At 45.9% G+C, this 19,831-nt stretch overlaps 1 protein-coding gene across 2 annotated transcripts in view, besides 3 other annotated features; it reads right to left on the minus strand.

The window, feature by feature from the left end:
- Nucleotides 1-19,831, minus strand: part of TRAM2 (translocation associated membrane protein 2) — a 79,653-nt gene that overhangs the window by 9,496 nt on the left and 50,326 nt on the right. Inside the window, exons 1-6 of one of the 2 annotated variants that reach the window (XM_011515005.3) lie at nt 12,713-12,904; nt 9,725-9,834; nt 9,103-9,219; nt 2,625-2,683; nt 1,331-1,415; nt 650-720 (exon numbers count right to left, since the gene is read on the minus strand). In XM_011515005.3, coding sequence (XP_011513307.1) covers nt 650-720; nt 1,331-1,415; nt 2,625-2,683; nt 9,103-9,219; nt 9,725-9,834; nt 12,713-12,785 — 515 coding nt within the window. In that variant the 5' untranslated portion in view covers nt 12,786-12,904. Of the gene's footprint in view, nt 1-649; nt 721-1,330; nt 1,416-2,624; nt 2,684-9,102; nt 9,220-9,724; nt 9,835-12,712; nt 12,905-19,831 lie in introns of those variants that run through there. The other variant, NM_012288.4, reaches the window with a different exon arrangement.
- Nucleotides 10,704-10,753: an enhancer, noted in NCBI's record as "active region_24680". NCBI's record gives its function as "activates an Ori minimal core promoter by ATAC-STARR-seq in GM12878 lymphoblastoid cells {active_cell/tissue: GM12878}" and the evidence as "EXISTENCE:reporter gene assay evidence [ECO:0000049][PMID:35858748]".
- Nucleotides 17,823-18,328: an enhancer, noted in NCBI's record as "H3K4me1 hESC enhancer chr6:52389524-52390029 (GRCh37/hg19 assembly coordinates)". NCBI's record gives its function as "activates a minimal SCP1, AML or CMV promoter by ChIP-STARR-seq in naive H9 embryonic stem cells {active_cell/tissue: H9 hESC(naive)}" and the evidence as "EXISTENCE:reporter gene assay evidence [ECO:0000049][PMID:30033119]".
- Nucleotides 18,329-18,833: an enhancer, noted in NCBI's record as "H3K4me1 hESC enhancer chr6:52390030-52390534 (GRCh37/hg19 assembly coordinates)". NCBI's record gives its function as "activates a minimal SCP1, AML or CMV promoter by ChIP-STARR-seq in naive H9 embryonic stem cells {active_cell/tissue: H9 hESC(naive)}" and the evidence as "EXISTENCE:reporter gene assay evidence [ECO:0000049][PMID:30033119]".

Raw genomic sequence — 19,831 nt, forward strand, 5'->3', positions numbered from 1 at the left:
GTTACACACAGTGAGCTCTGTAAGTGCCAGCCTAGAGAAAGTGTGGGGTGCTTTTACTGCATGGATAACACTCAGCAAAAGCCCAAATTATCAATGACACAGCTTATTAACATCAAAAGGATTCTTTTCATAAAAGAGGCTCTTCGAGAACTAATATTATAGCAATTCTTTCTGCCTCTAGAACAACCAAGAGAGACCTACTCTCCATGTCATTATAAACCAAAGGGAAGGGAATTCCAGGGCTACGAGCTCTAGCAGTGTTTGCATTGGACACTGTGAGGTAAGAGCCCAGCTTTGGGAGGCCTTCAAGCTGCAAAGCCATGGTTCAAAGGCCGACATCCACTGGAAGTCTTCCTGGCTGTCTCTGTTGAGGGTCTTCTTCTGGGTTGCAGAGCAGATGATACATACTGTGTTATGGTGTTCATCACTCTCAACTGTCCTTACTTATGTCTATAACTGTCTCTTCAGAATGAGAATGAACCACTGAAGATAAAGAATCTTCCATTACCATCTTTGTATTGCCAAGTCTTAGCATAGTGCTAGGCACACAGAGGATGTCAACAAATGCCTGATAATTATATGAGTGTGTGGACAGATGCATGGACATAAAAGGGCAAGGAAATCTGGCTGGCTCCATGGTCTCACTCACTTTAAGAGGTATGCTCCAGCTATATGCACCAGGTACAGGCAAATATACTGGAGCTGGCGGGGAATTTCCTCCTGGAAACAAGAGAAGCAGATGGTAAATTTGCTAATTCCCTAACTGAAGATTCAGGGAAGGGGGAAAAGTGCAGGGGGATGAGAGAGGGCCAGGCTCCTCTGGGCTGCTTTAACACACAGTCCCATGTCCCACGAGTCCCACAGTCCCACTGCACCAGGCTGCTGAAATTCAAGGGCATTCAGGTCCATTCCCAAATTCCAGCAGCCTTGGGTCTAGTGTCAGAGGGTGAGGTTTGGATTGAGAAATAAGAGACAGGGACTGGAGAAGAGGGCTCTTGGAAATAATTCAGAAGGAAACTATAAAAAGTAAAAATAAAAAAAGACTATGGAAATGGCAAAGACCTCTCCTTTGACATCTATAAGATGAGAGTTAGGTTTCCTCCAAAGCCACAGGTCTGGTGGAAGAGGCAGGCAAGAGACTGACACTGGTGGTCAACTACATGACACTTCTCCAAGAGATGACTCAGCATGTTGCTCAATCCCCAACATATTCCTATCACCACCCAACACTCCATGCTTCTGGAGAAAAGGAAGGGAGGTACCCCTGGGAATAGCAGGAGGGGAGTGGTCAATGAATGGCCTCCAAGAAGGGAGAGAAGTGAGCACTCACCTTCCGTACCTTCTGGAAGTATAGCTCAGGAAGTGCGTGCAGCCAGTAGGCCAGCTGGCATAGGTAGAAAAACTTCACCTGGAAGCTGGAGACAAGGGGGCAAGTCACACGGGCAGGATAGAGAAAAGTGTCCCTGCAGGTGCTGGCCAAGCACAGGAGGGAAAAGCATGGGCTGAGACTCTGCCTGTGAGGAGCTGGTCCAGGAGCAAGGGAGTTAGGCCAGTGACCGCCGCACCCTGAGCCTGGGACCCTGGCTTCTCCATTGGCCTGTGCCCTTGTTCCACATACAAAACCACTTAAAGGACACGGAAAGTCCACAGAAAGAAACAAACATGATTAAAATAGTGCAGAGGAGGAGGAATCCTTCAGCCTTGAGGAGGGAGCTGATTACAGAGCACTGTTGGAGATAGGGACCAACAGATACACTGAGACAACAAACAGCTCTAAGTAGCAAGGGAAGGTTCTAACTCAGCCCTACATCCTTTGCTATTATTGCTCTTAAAGATCTCGGGAAAGGCAGCCAGGCGTGGTGGCTCACGCCTGTAACCCCAGCACTTTGGGAGGCTGAGGCAGGTGGATCACCTGAAGTCAGGAGTTTGAGACCAGCCTGGCCAACATGGTGAAATCCCATCTCTACTAAAAATACAAAAATTAGCTGGGCGTGGTGGCACATGTCTGTAATCCAAGCTACTTGGGAGGCTGAGGCAGGAGAATCGCTTAAACCCAGGAGGTGGAGGTTGCAGTGAGCTGAAATCATGCCATTGCACTCCACCCTGGGCAACAAGAGCAAATCTCCATCTCAGAAAAAAGACAAAAAACAAAGATCTCGGGAAAGGCAAAGGGTGGCCTCCTGAGGGAGATGGCCCCAGGTATTGCCCTTGGGGTACACTGCCCTCTTGGCAGCACTATATGAGGCAGAGGACACTGGCTCTGACAGACCACCAGCCATGGCAGGCCAGAAGGGAAGACACTCTGTGGATGTCAGGGGGTCGCCAAGAAGGTAGAAACCCAGAGGGCATTATGGAGAGAGATGTTCTGCTTCTGAATCTGTCTCATGCAGTTGAGGGACCTCTGTGATGGGAGCCAGCACAGATGGAATTTCATCTGGGGATTCTCTGGTCAAGCATGCTGAGAAGAAGTGGCTTCCAGACAAGTCTACCATCCACAATAGGCTCAGGGCATGATCTGCTCGTCAGGCCAGCTGGGCCTGTGGTGTTCTGGCCACACTCCGCTGGGACAGGAAGGCAGTGGGCCCGGTCGCTCCTCCCTGGGGCTGAGTCAACAGAATACTCACGGGAGGTGCACATGCGGGTAGTCTTCCCAGAGGCTTCTTGGGTTTGTTAAGTATCCTTCCTGCAGTGGGCAAGAAGAGAGACCATTTAGAGATGTGGACGTGAGACCTGCTGGGGCCCTGGGACCGGTCCAGGGGTCAGGGATGCATCCAGTCCCCACCTGACAGAAAGAGGAAGGAACAGGAAATGTGAAAACAGAGAACTTCTCTGTGTGGGACCCCTGGCGCTTGGCTGGTTTCTTTACTGTGGAAGAGTCATGCTGGAGTAGGAAGGGCCACGCTCTGAGGTCCAACGACCCATATCTGAAGATGAGTCTGACAAGCGAATTAGTCTTGCTCCTCTGAGCAAGCTAATTAGTTTCCCTAAGCCACAGCTGGCTCATCTGCAAAACAAAATAAAAATACCCACCCTCACAGAGTTATTGTTGGAAATGAATGGGATAGTTTATGTGCCAGTGTCTAGTCCTGTGCCTGGCATGCAGGCGCTCAGGAAATGCCTCCATAATGAATAAGCAAATGAACTCTAGAATCACCACTCGCTGGAAAAATGAAAAGCCTACTTTGGCTTTTCACAGCCTGCTGAATAAAAAACATGGCAGGACCCCATAGGCCTCACCATGCAGCTGGACTCTGACACCTACCACACTGTGTCATTACTGTCAGTTGTTTCCATTACTCTTGCAAGTCCCTTCACACTAGGGCCTTTTCTTGCCTATCTTTAGAATTCTAACATGTAGTCCAGCACCTTATATGGGGTGGGGATGGCAACATGAAAATCCTTCCATCACAAAACATCTAGAAATGCTGGGTGAAATCTAATGAATATTCTTTTAAATGCAAAGAGCTGAGCTCACAGTAAGAAAGGGAAACCCCCTGGGACCCAAAGGGAGAGGGAGGCTAAAAGGCAGAGCAGTAAAGTGACACTGTAGCAGCCCAAAAGGCACTAGTTATGGGCCAGGGTTTTTGTGCCCATGTGAGAACAGAAGATGGTGCCTTGGGAGGTGGAACCCAAGACCTTGTATAAGACCAGGACCTCTGAAAGGCCACAATCTCAGAGAAAGGAAAAGACTAGAAAGTGTTTGCTGACCAACACAGGGAAATGAAGATGTCTGCTCAGCCCATACCCAAGGTGAAAACAAAATCATTTATTCTAAAAATCTGCAACCTCAGGTTCACTCTGAGTTTGGAGGTGAAATATACTACCTGTGTGATCCAAAAGCCGCCAAGGTAAGAAATTAGAATTAATAGTGTGGTGGGCCAGTGATACCCTGGGGACATACCCTCATCCAAGGATGCTCCACAGATAAAACCTTGCTAAAGATGAATTTATAATCCAAGAGTACAAAGCATGGGAAGAAATAATCTACCACAAGCAAGAGTCAGCTGAAACTACAGGAGTGCAATACACACCAGTTGGTTGAATGAATGAATGATGAATGCTTTGGGCAATTTCTCTCTTCTGAAGAAAGGGCTCTTATTTGTCACTCAGAGAAGGCAGAGCAGATTAGATTAGGATGACTTCATTTTAGAAATGGGAAAATGAAAAAACAGATAGGAAGGATCTCCTGAAATAAGATAGTTTTGTTTTGTTTTTTTGATATGGAGTTTTGCTCTTGTTGCCCAGGCTGGAGTGCAATGGCACGATCTCAGCTCACTGCAACCTCTGCCTTGCAGGTTCAAGCGATTCTCCCGCCTCAGTCCTCCTGAGTAGCTGGGATTACAAGCACGCAACACCACACCCGGCTATTTTTTGTACTTTTAGCAGAGACGGGGTTTCACTATGTTGACCAGGCTGGTCTCAAACTCCTGACCTCACTTGCCTCGACCTCCCAAAGTGCTGTGATTACAGGCGTGCACCATTGCGCCCAGCCAAGATAGTTTTTCAGTAGCACAGCTGAAATCCGAGTTGGGCCACAAGCCTTCTGGTCCAATAACTTCAGGCTAGGTTGCTTCAGTAAATCAGAAAATCAGCTGAGCTGGTGGCTTTGATGAGAAGGCTGAGAACCTCAGATGTTCACACTGGGATTAAAGGCAGAGGTTTTACAGTGCTCAGAATGAGGCCAACAGGGTTTAGTAAGAAGCATTCTAGGTTATTGTCTATTAGGATCTTTAGTTGTATTTCCAAGTGAGGGCTGATCCACCCACCTTTGAGTCACTAAACGCCCTGTGACCTATCAGCATGCCTTTCGGGTATAGTCCACGGCCCTAATCCCACAAACTTGGGCCTCCATGAGCACAATAACCTGACTGATAAGTCCTTTTATCGGATACATCTATACCACTGTAGTCACAGTCACCTGGATTAGAAGGAAATGATCTCACTTCGAACTTACATGGCCTCATTTCTAATCTCTTCTCACTACCACTCTCTCCTCCCTGGGTCACGTGCCGATTGAGGAATAAAAGTGGATGAGGCTCTCGGGTGGTGGCGTGTGTGGTGGCGGTGACAGTTGTGAGCTCTCTCAAATACACTGCTTCTATCACCTCTACCCACCCACTCTGTCGGGCATACGCCTGCCTTCATCAGCTCTCCTGCCCCAGGCTACCTCATTCCAGGGACATCAGAAAGGTGAGAATGTCTCTTCCTAGAGGAAGCAGGAATGTACTTAGCAGGAAAAATGGTACTTCTGAAACTGAGGTGGGAGAGAAAGTTTTGCCCAAACAAGACTCGCCAAGAAAAGCAGCACTGAGAGCAATGTAAAGCCCAGAAAATCTCGTGATTTTAAACAGGAACGCTCCTTGGCTTGGCCTCTTACTTAGAGACAAAGAGGTCAGAACTTTGAAGCCAAAAAGCAAAGAAACTCCCCAGAAAAATGTTGCCTGCTTGTGAATGTCCAGTCCACGGGGACTGGAGGAGGAAAAGGGTGGAGGGAGGAGAGCAGGGGGAGCCAGAGGAAAAATGACTCACTGCTCTGAGAACAGCCTTTTCCAGACCTCTGTCCAGGCAGCTGTCTGAAGGAGGACTGAGGCTGGGGCACCCTCTGAGCTCAGGCACGCAAAGCACCTGAGTCCACAGGGGGCTGAGTGTGACCCAGCAAGCACCTGAAACCCACCCCAAATCCCATCCACTGACAGGCCCCAGCAGATGGTTTGGAGAGGCTTTTGAAATCCTTTGTTCTCTCGATTCTACAAATCCACCCATGAGCTAAGCAAGGCCTCAACAAGGTGGAGAGATCCCTCCTGTTTCCCCAGCAGCCTTCCTTTTGGTGTGTGAACAAACACAACCACGAAGAACAGCATAATTCAGATATAGCACAGGCAAGTGCTACATAAATTCAGACATACCTTATATTATTTGACCATCAGAACAACCATGCACTAAAAATCTGCCCTAAAGCAACTAGTCTGTTAGTAGAAACCGGTCCTGGTACAAGCACCAGCATTAAGGACATTCCCTCTACTTGGTTCTAAAATCTACGGTGGATTTTAGGTTCTAAAAGATGAAGCCAAATATAGCAAGGAAGTCAGACAGGGAAGACCAAACGCCCACCCATCCTGCTTTCTCCAGTGGAGTGTTTTTTTTCTTTTTCCCTCAACAATGAGTAGTCGATCAAAGGTAGATTAAAAGTTGGAGGCTGACATTCCTATAAAATTATTGGCGGTCCAGCCACACTCCCACTGCTCTGCCTCTATATATGCAGAGAGAAATGTTTCAATCAAACACCAGAATAATACTGGTATTTCTGGTGGGAGGAATTTGCTTTTTTGAACTTCTCTATATTGTTCACTTTTTAAAAAATGATCATTTATGATATTTATTAAAACAACCAATTCATTACTTTAAAAATGTTGAAGGCTGGAGAGAGAAGATGCATTTGCAGTTTATTCACTCATTCTCATAGCCAACATTTAGTGGGCACTTAGTATGTGCCAGGCACCATACCAGGGATACAGCAGTGAGCACCGTGCCTGCTAGCAGGCAGCTCAGAATCTAGTGGGAGAAACAGAGAATACAGAATACACAATCAAGAGAAGCACCAGCAACAGGCACAGTGCAGAAAATGCAAATTGGTGGGGGGTTCTCTGAGGAGATGGTATTTAGGCAGAGACTTGGATGGCAAGAAGGAGTTGGCCATGGGATGGCAGGGGATGGAGCCCTTGAGCAGAGAAATCACCAGTACAAAGCCCAGGATGCAGAACAGCCAGGCCAAAAGTGGGGGTGTGGCCAGTGAGATGAGACCAGCAAGATTAGCAGGGCCCAGATCACATGAATGGGGAGGAAAAAACGATTTCACTGCAAGTGTGATGGGACTTTTAAGCACGGGAATGTATGGTTTTATTTCTGTTTTAAAAGATCCATCTGGCTGAGCAGAAAATGGATTGGGGTGGGAGGGTACAAGAGTGGAAACAGTCTCCTTCTAGAAAAAAGATATTTAGTGTCTAGGCAAGAGATGATGGTGGCTTGGACTATACAGATCGAGGTTTCTCAATCTTGGCACTATGGCCAGATAGTTCTTTGTTGTGGAGGCTGTCCTGTGCATTAAACGCCATATCGTAGCATCCCTGGCCTCCACCCACTAGATACCAGTAGCATATTGCCAAATGTCCCCTACAGGCCCAAATCTCCCCTGGTCAAAGGTCACTAGACTAGGGTTGGTGGTGCAGGCAGAAAGCAGCAGACAGTCTCAATGTGTTTGGGAGGCAGAGCTGGCAGGACCTGCCGATGAAATGACTGTGGAGAGTGAGAGAAAGAAGAGTCATGAAAAAATTTGCATCATAACAGAAAAATATTATTTTTTTAAAAAAACAAGCTGTTTTTATGCCTTTTACAGAACTACATCTCTTCTTCTTCAATCACTTTCCTTCCAGGAAGCACAGTTCCAACGGAGGAGGGCAAGGAGTCAAATGTTGTTAGGAAGAGTTGGCGGGGGTCGGGGGTCACTGGAGCTTTCCGTGGTCCCCTGGTCTCTGTGCCTATTGAATATGTTGAGTGGGGAACTGGCTCTTCCCAGAATAAAAAACTGTTATGTGCCTCCCCAAGAAAAGCCTATGTGCTCTCAAACTAATTAGCATCATGTTCAAATCCTTGAAGAACTGAGAGAGGCAAAGACAGAGCTGTTGAGCATTTCACACCCTGGAAGGCGTGTTAAGCAACTTGGCTCTAGCCTCCAAATCTGGTCGCCACGTGTCACAGCTGGGGTGGAATGTTTGGGGGTGAAGTTGAAAGGGTAAAAGTGATTCAGAGATGAGGCAATCCTCCTGAACGGCGTCTTTGGTATCTTGAGGCTGTTCTGCTTCAAAGCAGCTTAGGCCTCCGGGGGTGGGCATGAACTGAACGTCAAGGGACTGGGTGTGGTCTGAAACCTGGAAGTCTAGGGACTTGTGTGCATGGCACAACAGCAGGGATGCACTGTTCACACAGTGTCAATCTGCCCCTGGGACTGTGACAGCCTTGCCTGAGAGGACAGAAGTCTTGGGCCCCCCATTTAAAATTCCTAGTATTCTGCTTAGGAAAGCTGCTCTATGATGAAATGATAATAGGAATAAAAACAATGTACAAAAGGACACGTTGACTCTGGCTTTGAGAATAGGAATTCAACATTCAACTCTGGAGACAGAGTTCCTTGTGATGGGAGCGCCCATCACTGTCACTGAAAGAAGAGGAAGAAAGTGAGGGATCTGTGGAAGGCCGGGAAGGAAATCTTAAAGAGGTCACAGGGTTGCTGAATTTTCCAAGACCCAGGCATGGATTTCTCAGGGGGCCAGGTTACAGGAAGGTAGAGCTCCAGGTGGTGGTGGGTACTAACTCAATACTTCCTAGCAGGACAGGCAAGGTCTTGTTACAGGAAACTCCAAAGGACCATCCACATTCCTTTCTATGAGGGAATTTTGCTGTATCAAAGGCTGCTTGAAATAAGAGTCTGTTTACATAGAAAGGAGGGGAAAATTGTCTGGTCCTGCAGGCATTTGTTGAAACGGCATTGACTCTCACAGGATTTGATGAGCTGACAGAGTGAGGCTGGCCTCGTTTATAGAAGGCCAAGGTAGTAAAACAGAGAGTAAGCTGGGCTTGGAACTCTATCTCCAAGTCCAAACTATCCTTTGCTGTTTCAAAACCACAGAACCACAGGCATACTGCAAAATTTGAGCTTGGAACTCTTCAATCTGTAACATGGGTATCAGAATGAACATCAAATGTATCTTATGGGACAGTGTTTGTAGAAGAGCCTTGTAAAACAATACAGTATTATGTAGATACATGGTATCATTACTGCAGTATTGCATAATGATTATAACAAGTGGTGACTGTTGGCCAAGATGACTCTCTCCAGCTATAAAATGGCATCTCTCTGTAATACCATGAGGATGCAAACATAGCTTCAGTTCTAAGAAGCTAAGAAGGTTCTAAGAAACTTGTTCCCCTTAACAGAAAAAGAAAAAGAGCAAGGGGTCCTTTGCAGTCATTTGATTAGCAATCCCAGAGCTGGAATTGCCCCTTGGTTTGAGCTCTCCCGCTTCAGCAGTCCTGAGAATGGCTCACCGTCACCACCACGTAGAAGCACCAAATCACCGAGGTGAAATGAAAGACGACCAGCTGTCCAGATTCATTGAACTTGCTGTGTTTGACTTTGGAGAGATGAAGCCGTTTGCTGATTTTCTAAAGAATAAAGAAAACCCCTCATATTAATATACAAATGTATCCATATTGGGCAGGTTTCAAACTCTTGTATTCTCCCCACAGAAGGGTTGAACATCGTTAGAAGTTTGCAGCTGGCCATAATCCAAGTCATTTGGTGTAAGCCTACTGCGTGCATACAGTGCTTGGTCTAAGGCAAGCATTTTGAGAAAGTGGCAAGATGAATGTCTCTAGCCTATGTGTAAAGAAAATAACCCCAATTACTCAATGTGCCCCAGACCCATAAGGACACCATCTCCAGACAGCTTTCTCTCTGTGTAATAAATACTGCTGTCCCATGTGCTGATTAAAGGAGGCTGTGAACAGAAACCAAAGTGTGGTGAAGGAAGCCCAGGCAATAGACCCAACCAGTGCAAGCAAGTTGGAGGATGAATGGGTGCAGAGCTGCAGTTTCCTCCAAGGCCAGGTCCTCCACCCCAAGGCACCTCCCCAGCTTCTGATCTCAGAATCCAGACATGTCACTTACATCTAAAATGTACTCCTGAACCACAGCATGCAAGATGATGGTGATGAAGATGTAGAACAAGATTGTGACCAGGTCCTTAGGGCCATAGTGGTAGTGCACGGTCTCACTGTCTGTGGAGGTAATAAAAGTCCCATCAGCATCCCTGGGGGAAGGAAATACTCTGGGACCCAAAACTGAAATGAGATGGGAGGCGAAATGCGCCATCAAATGCTACCCGTTTGCTATAGCCTCAGACTCAGAAGAAGGTTTCTGCCCCAGAATCCTGCCCACCCTCTGGTCTTAGCACTTGGAAGCACCAATGGAGATGGCTAAGGAGAACCAAGTGCATGGCTGTATTGTCATAACAGTATCTCCTGAGTCTGTGCAGCAGAGCACAGTGGTTATAACAGAGCCAGGGTTAGAGACCACCAATCCCCATCACTGGCTCTATCACTCCCTAACTGTGTGACTGTGGATAAAGGACTAACCTCTTTGAGCCTCAGTTTCCTCCCCTGTAAAATGGGACTATAGTTATGCTTTCTCAAGAAAGCACCGCGTAAGGGCTAAATGTGGACTCAGAAGCTGGACTCTTCAGTTTGTATTGCAGCTCTGTCCTATGTGACCCAGGGGTATCTCCATGTGTGACTTTTCTGTACCTCAGTTTTCTCATCTGAAAAATGAGGACAACATTTCCTGCATAGTAAGTTTATTATGAGAATTAAATGAATAAATGCGAAGTGCTTAGAACAGTGTCTGGCACATAGTTAAGTGCTATATATGCACTTGCTATTATTTTTGTTGTTGGGCTAGTGCAAGGATCAAATGAGATAATTTGCTTACAACAGTACCAACAATTTACAGTAAGTCTGCAATAAATGGTGGCTTATTAAAATACAATTAAATAGTAATAAATTAGACAACATCCCAGGTATAGAAATCTTGTGAAACTCCGCCATTGCAGCCTGTGGACAGAGGAGAATCTGCATCCTTGCTCCAGTCAGTGGGCAGCAGGCTGCGGGGCTGTGAGCCTGGTGGCCGTGTGCCTGGGTCTGGGCTGCTCTCTGCAACCCCCACCTCCACCAGGCAAATGGCTGCTCTCCAGCTGTGCTGCATTCGCTCTGAGTCACACACACATGAGTCATCTCACTGCTGGGATGCATTTACCAGAAGGTAGCCAGGCTCAGTTTGTTTCAGGGTGGCCAGGGAACAAAGTCAAGCTGATTGGGTCACTCTGGGAGTCCACCCTAATCTCAGCCACCCTAGACTGGGAGAATGTAACGGTGGGCAGTGGTGAGGGGGTGGGAGGAGGTGGCGAGGACAGAGAGAACATGATCTTGGAAATCAGACAAACTTTCCTTTTTCCTCTCCCTCTTCCTTTCCACAAAGACCTATTCTGTGAGAGGCACTGGGCTAACTGTTGAAACATGGAGATAAAAGACACCACCCCCGGTTGGAAAACATACAGTGCAGCAGGGAGACTAACAGACAGATGTACGATTACACTACAGACGGGCAGCGCTCCTGAGAAGCACATACAGTGAGCCACAGCAGGCGAGGGCCCCACTCTGGCTAGGGTGGAGGTTGTGGGTAAACTGTTCACTGGTCAGGGTGAACAGAACGGCATTGGAACTCGGGGACCAGCAGGAGAGGCCGGTATTGGGGACATCCTAGCCAGAGAAAGCAGCATCCACAAAGAATGAAGGGACTGAGGCTGGACTGCTGGGGGCGGAGGGGAGGTCACCGTGGTGAGCGGCGGGCTGCTGTGCGTGGCCTTGTGTGCCATGTAAAAGGGTGTGGACTTTATCCTGAAGGCAACGTGGAAATATTGAAGAATTCAAATTAAACAGGAAAATGATGACATTTGCGTTTTGGAACATTTACTCTGGCAGCAGTGAACATGCCCAGAGGTAAGGACACCGGTTAGAAAGCTGTTCCTGTGATCCAGGTAAGAAGCCACAGGGCCTGAATCAAGGCAGGAGAAGAGAGAGGAAGGGAGAAGGAGGGCTGTCAGTGAGAGAGAGCTGATGAGCCTTGGCCACTGAGGACCGAAGGGCTGGGATCCAGGATGGGGAGTCAGGCACTGAACACCCGAGGAGAAGACACGAAGATGAGGGAGAGGAGACTCATGGCCCAGCCTCTCCACTCTACCACATGTGACGCCAGGATTACATTTTCCTTGCCTTCTTCATAAAGAGACCAATTAGGTGGCCGCATATTTTGAAATTATAAAATAACTAAACATAGTTTCATCATCAAGATCATCCTTACTAGGCATAATGGGATTTATACTCAACCAAACAAGCACAGTCCAAAAATCAGTGAAACAGTACCTGACAAGACCTTAGATTATCCATTTTAAAGCCCTTTACGAGGGTCACCTGCCATTCTTGATACCAAATACTAGGGTTCCAAAGAAATATGACTATAATCTGAAATCCTTCTTGAAACTAGAATGAATGTAGAAATAAACACAGACTCGTGTTCCTCTGCTGTTGAGACCTGCGCACATGCATCCTCATTGGCTGACGAACCACGCACAGGGCTCCATGCTGGGCACTGGGAGACGGCAGTGAGCAAGGTGGGCACAGCCCCTGCCCTCTTGGAGCTTAGCGGGTACACACCACATCCTTGTACACTTAAACACCAGCAGCCAAAGAACTGTAACTCAACAACAAAAACCAAACAACCTGATTCTAAAAGGGACAAAGTTCTTGAAGAGACATTTCTCCAAAGAAGAAATACAAATGGCCAATAAAGACATGAAAGATACTCAACACCACTCATCATTAGGGCACTACAAATCAAAACCACAACAAGGTTATCTCCTCACACCCATAAGGACGGTTACAATGAGGAAAAAACAAACAAGCAAAAAACAGAAAAACAACAAGTATTGGTGAGGATGTGGAGAAACTGGGAACTTTGTACATTGTTGGTGGGAATGTAAAATGGTACAGCCACTGCAGAAAACAGTATAGTGATTCTTCAGAAAGTTAACAATACAATTACCACATATTTCAGTAATTCCACTTCTGAGTGTTGGGGTAATTGAAGGCCAGATTTCAATAAAATATTTGTACATCCATGTCCATAGCAGCACTATTCACAACAGCCAAAAAGATGGAAGCGACGCAGGTGTCCATGGATTGATGAATGAATAAACAACATGTGCTGTATACATACAGTGGAAGATGATTCAGCCTTAAAAAAAAAAAAAGGAAATTCTGACACATGCTACAACATGGGTGGACCTCGAGGACATTAGACTAAGTTGAATAAGTCAGTCACAAAAGGACAAATACTGTATGATTCGATTTATATATGAGTTACCTAGACTAGTCAAATTCAGAGACAGAAAGCAAAATGGTGGTTACCAAGGGCTGGGAGTGAGAGGAATGGGAAGGTGCTATTTAATGGGTACGGGGTTTGTTTTGCAAGATGAAAAGTGTTCTGAAAATTGGTTGTATAATAACGTGAATGTACTTAACAATACTGAACTGTACATTTAGAAATGGTTAAGATGGTAAGTTTTATGTTATGTGTATTTTACAATTTAAAAAACAACAACAGCCAGCTGTGTCAATGCTCTGAAGTGGACTGAAGGCTGGGGGTGTGGAGCAGAAGGTTGGGGACCTGCAGAGGTGGGAGATCAGGAAGCACCCCTTAGAGGTCAGGGCAAGACATGCGGACTGTACCCTAAAGGAATGAGAGCTACTGGAGGATTTTCGTCACATGTTCATAGAGACCTCTCTTCCTGCCACAGGGAGAATGGGTTAGAGTGGCAAGGCTGGAAGCCAGGAGAGCAGTCAGAAGGTGCCCGTGGGAATTCCAGGCAGAGCAATCGGAGAAGAGATGGGCGTCGGATAGAGTCAGTGACGGAATCAAAAGAACCAGCTAACAGCTGGCTACGCGGATGGATTCTCAAGTTCCTTCTGGAACAGTACCTATATTCTATAGCCTCTTTCATGGTTTTAAAATTCTGCAACATGCATTATCTCGTCTGATCATCCTAACTATCTCATGAGATAAGCAAGGAAAGTGAATGAGGAAAGAGTTCACAGAGTTAAGGGACACAGTCCGTTTCTTGGGTTTCCTCACTCCTAGAACCCAGCCACCAAATGCCACCTCAAGGTCAACACAGCCCCCCATCCCACCCCATCACAGCTCCATTTCTGGTAATATACCATTCCTCTGACCTCTTACTCCTACAATCATAAGGAACAGCTTCATACACAAATAATCAAAAGCTATATTCTGATTCGCACAAATTATCTCCATGGTTTCCCTCCTTACCTGCTATCCTCCTACTTTTTGTTTTGTTTTGTTTTTTGAGACAGAGTCACCCAGGCTGGAGTGTAATGGCGCAGTCTTGGCTCACCACAACCTCCCGGGTTCAAGCAATTCTCTTGCCTCAGCCTCCCAAGTAGCTGGGATTACAGGCGCGGGCCACCAGTTCCGGCAAATTTTTTTTTTTTGTATTTTTAGTAGAGATGTGTTTTTGCCATGTTGGCCAGGCTGGTCTTGAACTCTTGACCTAAGATGATCCACCTGCCTTGGCTTCCCAAAGTGCTGGGATTACAGGTGTGAGCCACTGCACCCAGCCCTATCTTCCTACTTTTGATCAGAGGAGGAAAGTAGTAGGTTGGTGCAAACGTAGTAATAAATTGGTTTGGCCCTGTTTTCATAGAACTATAGAGGTTGGACCTTTGTCCCCTTCCAGATGCCTACAAACAAACTGATGTTTTTGATTTTTTTTTCTTTTTAAATTTTGGTTGCCACTAATTCTTATAAAAATCCTCACACAAGGCTGGGCGCGGTGGCTCACACCTGTAATCCCAGCACTTTGGGAGGCCGAGGCAGGCGGATCAAGAGATCAGGAGCTCGAGACCATCCTGGCTAACATGGTGAAACCCCCGTCTCCACTAAAAATACAAAAAAAAATTAGCCGGGCGTGGTGGCGGGCACCTGTAGTCCCAGCTACTCGGGAGGCTGAGGCAGGAGAATGGCGTGAACCCGGGAGGGGAAGCTTGCAGTGAGCCGAGATTGCGCCACTGCACTCTAGCCTGGGAGACAGAGCGAGAGACTCCATCTCAAAAAAATAAAATAAAATAAAATAAAATAAAACAAAACAAAATAAAATAAAATAAAATAAAAATAAATAAATAAAAATCCTCACACGACCCAGGTTAGAGCTCCCACTTCTCATAGACTGCCCCTGTCGTGCATGAGCTCTCAAAAAGAACAGCAATCGTTTGGCAATAATCTATTCTATTTTTTTAGAAGAATAAGTCCAGCACATCTCTGGCCTATGAGGCCAGAGAGGTGACTCTGATTTTGGATCAAAACAAAACGCCTACAGGGACCGGGGGGAGCACAAATGAGCCAGGTGGTCCAGGTGTCTTAAGATAGCTGCTTTCAATACAGAGGCCCACTGCATTAAGCAGGTCATATTCTTCACTTCCACAGAGAAATATGCTTTCCACTGCTTTTCTTTAAACATATCACCCTCTGGTCTATCTTTCACATCTCCACTTTGAGAGAAACAAGTTTAAGAGATATCCACTGACCTTTTAACCTTACTAAAATAAATACACGTTAAAACTGAGATAAACAGTAGTAACTGGCAGCCTCGATGTCAGGAACACACTAGAGAGGAGGGGCACACCCCACACTGTGTCCCACAGGGGTGAGGGAGGCAGTGGCGTAGCTGCATCTCAGCCACTGTGGCTGCAGGAGAGGCGCAACCCAGTGGCTGGAGTCCCAATGTTTCAAAAGCAAAGAAAAATCTTTACGTGAAATCATCTGATTTTAAAATGCTGGTGACTAATTCGAAATTTTTAAAAACACTGCATGGGCCAACACCAGACTGGCCAAAGAAAACACATCTGTAGGCCAACTCTGACTACAGGCCACAGATTTGTAACCTCCAACCTTCATGACCCCTGATACCTTTCCAACACCAATACTCTATGAGCCTTCTTCCTATATAACCCTATGGAGTACGCCAATATGCTCTAGTGTAGGAATTAATCTAGCTTTGGGAAAAAGCACCTTCAATAATGACCTTCCTACTGTAGTGGGTTATCCCACCTCCCATCAAAAATGACACTTACTTTGCTTATCTTTGATTACAGTTTAAAGAGAGACCTGAAATAATCAGAATCTTGGCTGTTTTGACAACCTCTGTGAGCAGCTGTCCCTTTTGGGGAGTCACATTCTGCTTGACCTCCTGCTCCGTTTCCTATGACTAATAGATATTTTCCTGTTTCCTTCTGAGGTCACCTGCAAGCGGCTTCTCCTGCCTGCCTTTACATTTCCCAGTCCTGTCTGGATCCCACTGTGCGGTCTCTGACCTCCTCTGCACAACCTGAGCTGGTGTCCACTTCTTACTGACATCCCATCTGCTTCTGAGAACTCATGTGAGCCAGGGCAGGCATCTGCCCTAGAAGCTTCTTCTTTTGTCTGAAAGCTAGTTGTTTAAAGAGCATCACTGTACTCCTAGTTTCTTTCCGAATCCCTGCAAATCTGGATTTGTAAAATTTTCTTCTATTGGTTGCTGTGCCAAGAGCCAACTCTGTTTTCGTATTATTTTGAATTTTTTACACTATATATAAATCCAGAATTAGATATGGAAACACCACCACAAACAAAATCTGGAGGCAAATGATCACCTGGGGAAAATATTTACAATTCAGATCAGAGACAAAGGGCTAATCTTGCTAATATGTAGTAAGTTGCTATAATTTCACAATAAAAGGATTTTTAAAAATCGAGTAGAAATGAACAAAGGATATAAACAGACAAGCCACAGAAAAAAGAAACAGAAAAGATGGCTGTTATACATTTAAAAAAATGCTCAGCCTTACACAGAAGAGATATGCAAATTAAAGCTACACTAAGATACCATTTCATACCTATCAGATTGGCAAAAATACAAAGCTTGACAATATATTCTTGCTAAGGCTGTGGGGAAACAGACTCTTTCTTACACACTGCCAGCAGGAATGTAAAACGGTACCACCTCTTTGGAGGGCAATTTGGCAATTTCTGTTGAGATTACAAACGCATCAATCCTTCGATGCAGCAATTCTACTTCTGGAAATTTATCCTGCAGCTGGTACCTGCTACAGTCAAAATGACGTGTGTACAAGGTTACACACCACAGCACTGTTTTTAATGGTAAATGAATGGAAACAACCCATGTTGTTTTATCTATAGGGAACTGGTAGATATAGTTATAATACACCAGGGTTACTCAACATGTGGCCATGGGCCAATAGCATCAGTAACACCTGTGAGCTTAAAAACACGCATTCTTGGGCCCTACCCCAGGCCTATTGGCTCAGAAACTTAAAGTAGAAATCTGTATTTAACTACACCTCCAGGTGATGCTGACCCAGCAAAAATTTAAAAAATATTTATGTAAGCAATAGAGCGATTTAAAAACATCAGAGAGAAATGAAATCAAGAGCAGGTAAAACTGTAACTGAGAGATTTATGAATCAGAATACCAGTTACTTTAGGAGGGGTGCTGACTGGAAGGGGCAGAAGGAAGCTGGGGTGCTGTATCTTGATCTAGGCTAGAGCTGCATTAAACCTCAAAACACATTTTTAGAAAGTTGATGACGCTCTCTGCATATTGATATGAAATGATATCTAGGATACATTATTTGGTGGAGAAAAAAGCCAGGTACAGAAGAAGCATATAGTATTCCATCTTTTATGTAAGAAAGGGCAGGAAAGAAAAATATGCATTTGTATTTGCATAAAGCAACTCTGGATTGCCAGTTAAGAAATTCTTGGGGCGGGGGGTGGGTACACAAGACACAACAGGGACTGCCCACAGGGAGTAGGGGTGTGAAAGGGACGGAGGGCAGGGTGGGAACAAGACTCTCTCCCTCTGTAGTCATGGACTGGATGGGGCACAGGGAAGCTAGGAAGTGGGAAATACTCTATCTTGGTCTAGGTTCAATCGGTACAAAAAACCTTGACCTAGGTTAGAGCTGTACAGGAAAGTGTTTTAATACAGATTTATACTTGAACTGTGTGAATGTATTTCTATTCAAAAAACAATTTTTAAGTAAGTCTTCAAATTCTTCCTGCTTTGTACAGATAAAGTGGTGTCTTCTTCTCTACCTTGTTGCTCTATTTTTTTTTTCTTCCATAGGGAGCGAGAATGGGCATGAAAAGACCTGGAGCTCACTTCTGGAGCCATCAGTTGTCTGTCATATGACCCAGGGTCCCTCTGTCTCAGTTAACCCTTCTGAACAATGGGATAAAACCATCTACCTTTTCTCACAGAGCTACACACTGTAAGGTGCTATGCAAATAGATGAAAGTATTATGCCTACTTCCAACAGAAACAATCAGACGCTAAAGGAACAGAAGAGTCACTTGCTCTATCCATGCATGATACTGAGCACCTCTCATGGGAACATTTACTCTTCAGAGTAATCCCGGGATTATCTCCATTTACTGACATGGCAGCTGAGGCATAGAGGTGAGCAGTCGCTGTGCCCCCAGGACCTGCAGCTAGGCAGCAGTGGGGCCAGGACTCAGCTGTGCTACTGACGCCAGGGCCAAATCCATTAGCTCCCCATCAGGCCTCTCTGCCTCCTGATACCCCTTCAAATCACACAGAAGGTGCCCTCATTAAACCCTGAAGGCCTGCCCCACTCCCCCAGGTGGCAGGGAAAAAAGAGGAGCTTAAGACAGGCATGGGGCAAGCAGCCTCCAAGGGCAGCATTGTCCCCACTCTCCAGGCTGCTGGCCTACTCCCTCTGTGGCCTCCCAACCTAGAAGATGTGACCAGTGGTGTTTTAACTACAAGCATCACCATAGTTCTCAGACACATAAGCACAGATACACACACACACAGAGGCTGTTATGGGTTGAATTGTACCTCCATTAAAAAATATTTGGGCCAGGTGCAGTGCCTTAGGCCTGTAATCCCAGCACTTTGGGAGGCCAAGGCGGGTGGATCACGAGATCAGGAGTTCAAGACCAGCCTGGCCAACACAGTGAAACCCCATCTCTACTAAAAATACAAAAATTAGCTGGGCTTGGTGGCAGGTGCCTGTAATCCCAGCTACTCAGGAGGCTGAAGCAGGAGAATAACTTGAACCCAGGAGGTGGAGGTTGCAGTGAGCCGAGATTGTGCCACTGCACTCCAGCCTGGGTGACAGAGCTAGACTCCTGTCCTAATTCAGATTGAGTCTTTACAGAGATAAATTAAAATGAGGTCATTAGGGTGGGACCTGTTTCAATATGACTGGTGGTCTTCTAAAAAGGGAGAAATTTAGACACAGAGACAGACACAAACAGAGGGAGGGTGATGACAAGAGACAGGGAGATGACGACCATTTACAAGCCAAGAGAGACCTAGAACAGATCCTTCCCTCACAGCCCTCAGAAGGAATCAACCCTGCCACCATCTTGATTTCAGACTTCTGGTCTCCAGAACTGTGAGACAATACATTTCTGTTGTTTAAGCCATTCAGTTTGTGGTACTTTGTTATGGCCATCCTAGGAAATACACACAGACAGACACACACACACACACACACACACACACACACACACACACACACACACACACACACGCCAGAGAATTAAAGATCTGACAGATCTTCAGAGTTACCATTTTAACCCCACATTGCATGCTTTGTAATATATTTTCTCCATTTTTATAGTAAGGAAGGAAGATAAAGAAAGGATACTTCCATGACATAAAACAATGTAGCAAAGATGAATGAAGGGCTGAAGAGAAGTTGATAAGATCCCAGGTTTCTGCATTGCTTTTTGTTTTTGTTTTTTTTGGCCCAGGCTGGAGTACAGTGGCACAATCTCAGCTCACTGCAATCTCTGCCTCCCAGGCTCAAGCGATTCTTGTGCCTCGGCCTCCTGAGTAGCTGGAATTACAGGTGTGCCCCACCACACCCAGCTAATTTTTTTGCATTTTTAATAGAGACTGGGTTTCACCATGTTGGCCAGGCTGGTCTCAAACTCCTGACCTCAAGTGATCTGCTCACCTCGGCCTCCCAAAGTGCTGGGATTATAAGCATGAGCCACTGCACCCGGCCTGCATTGCTTTCTTGATGCACCATTCCTTTTTATAAAGCTGTAACC

This window comes from Homo sapiens, chromosome 6, assembly GCF_000001405.40.
Source record: "Homo sapiens chromosome 6, GRCh38.p14 Primary Assembly".
NCBI classification, from domain to species: Eukaryota; Metazoa; Chordata; class Mammalia; order Primates; family Hominidae; genus Homo; species Homo sapiens.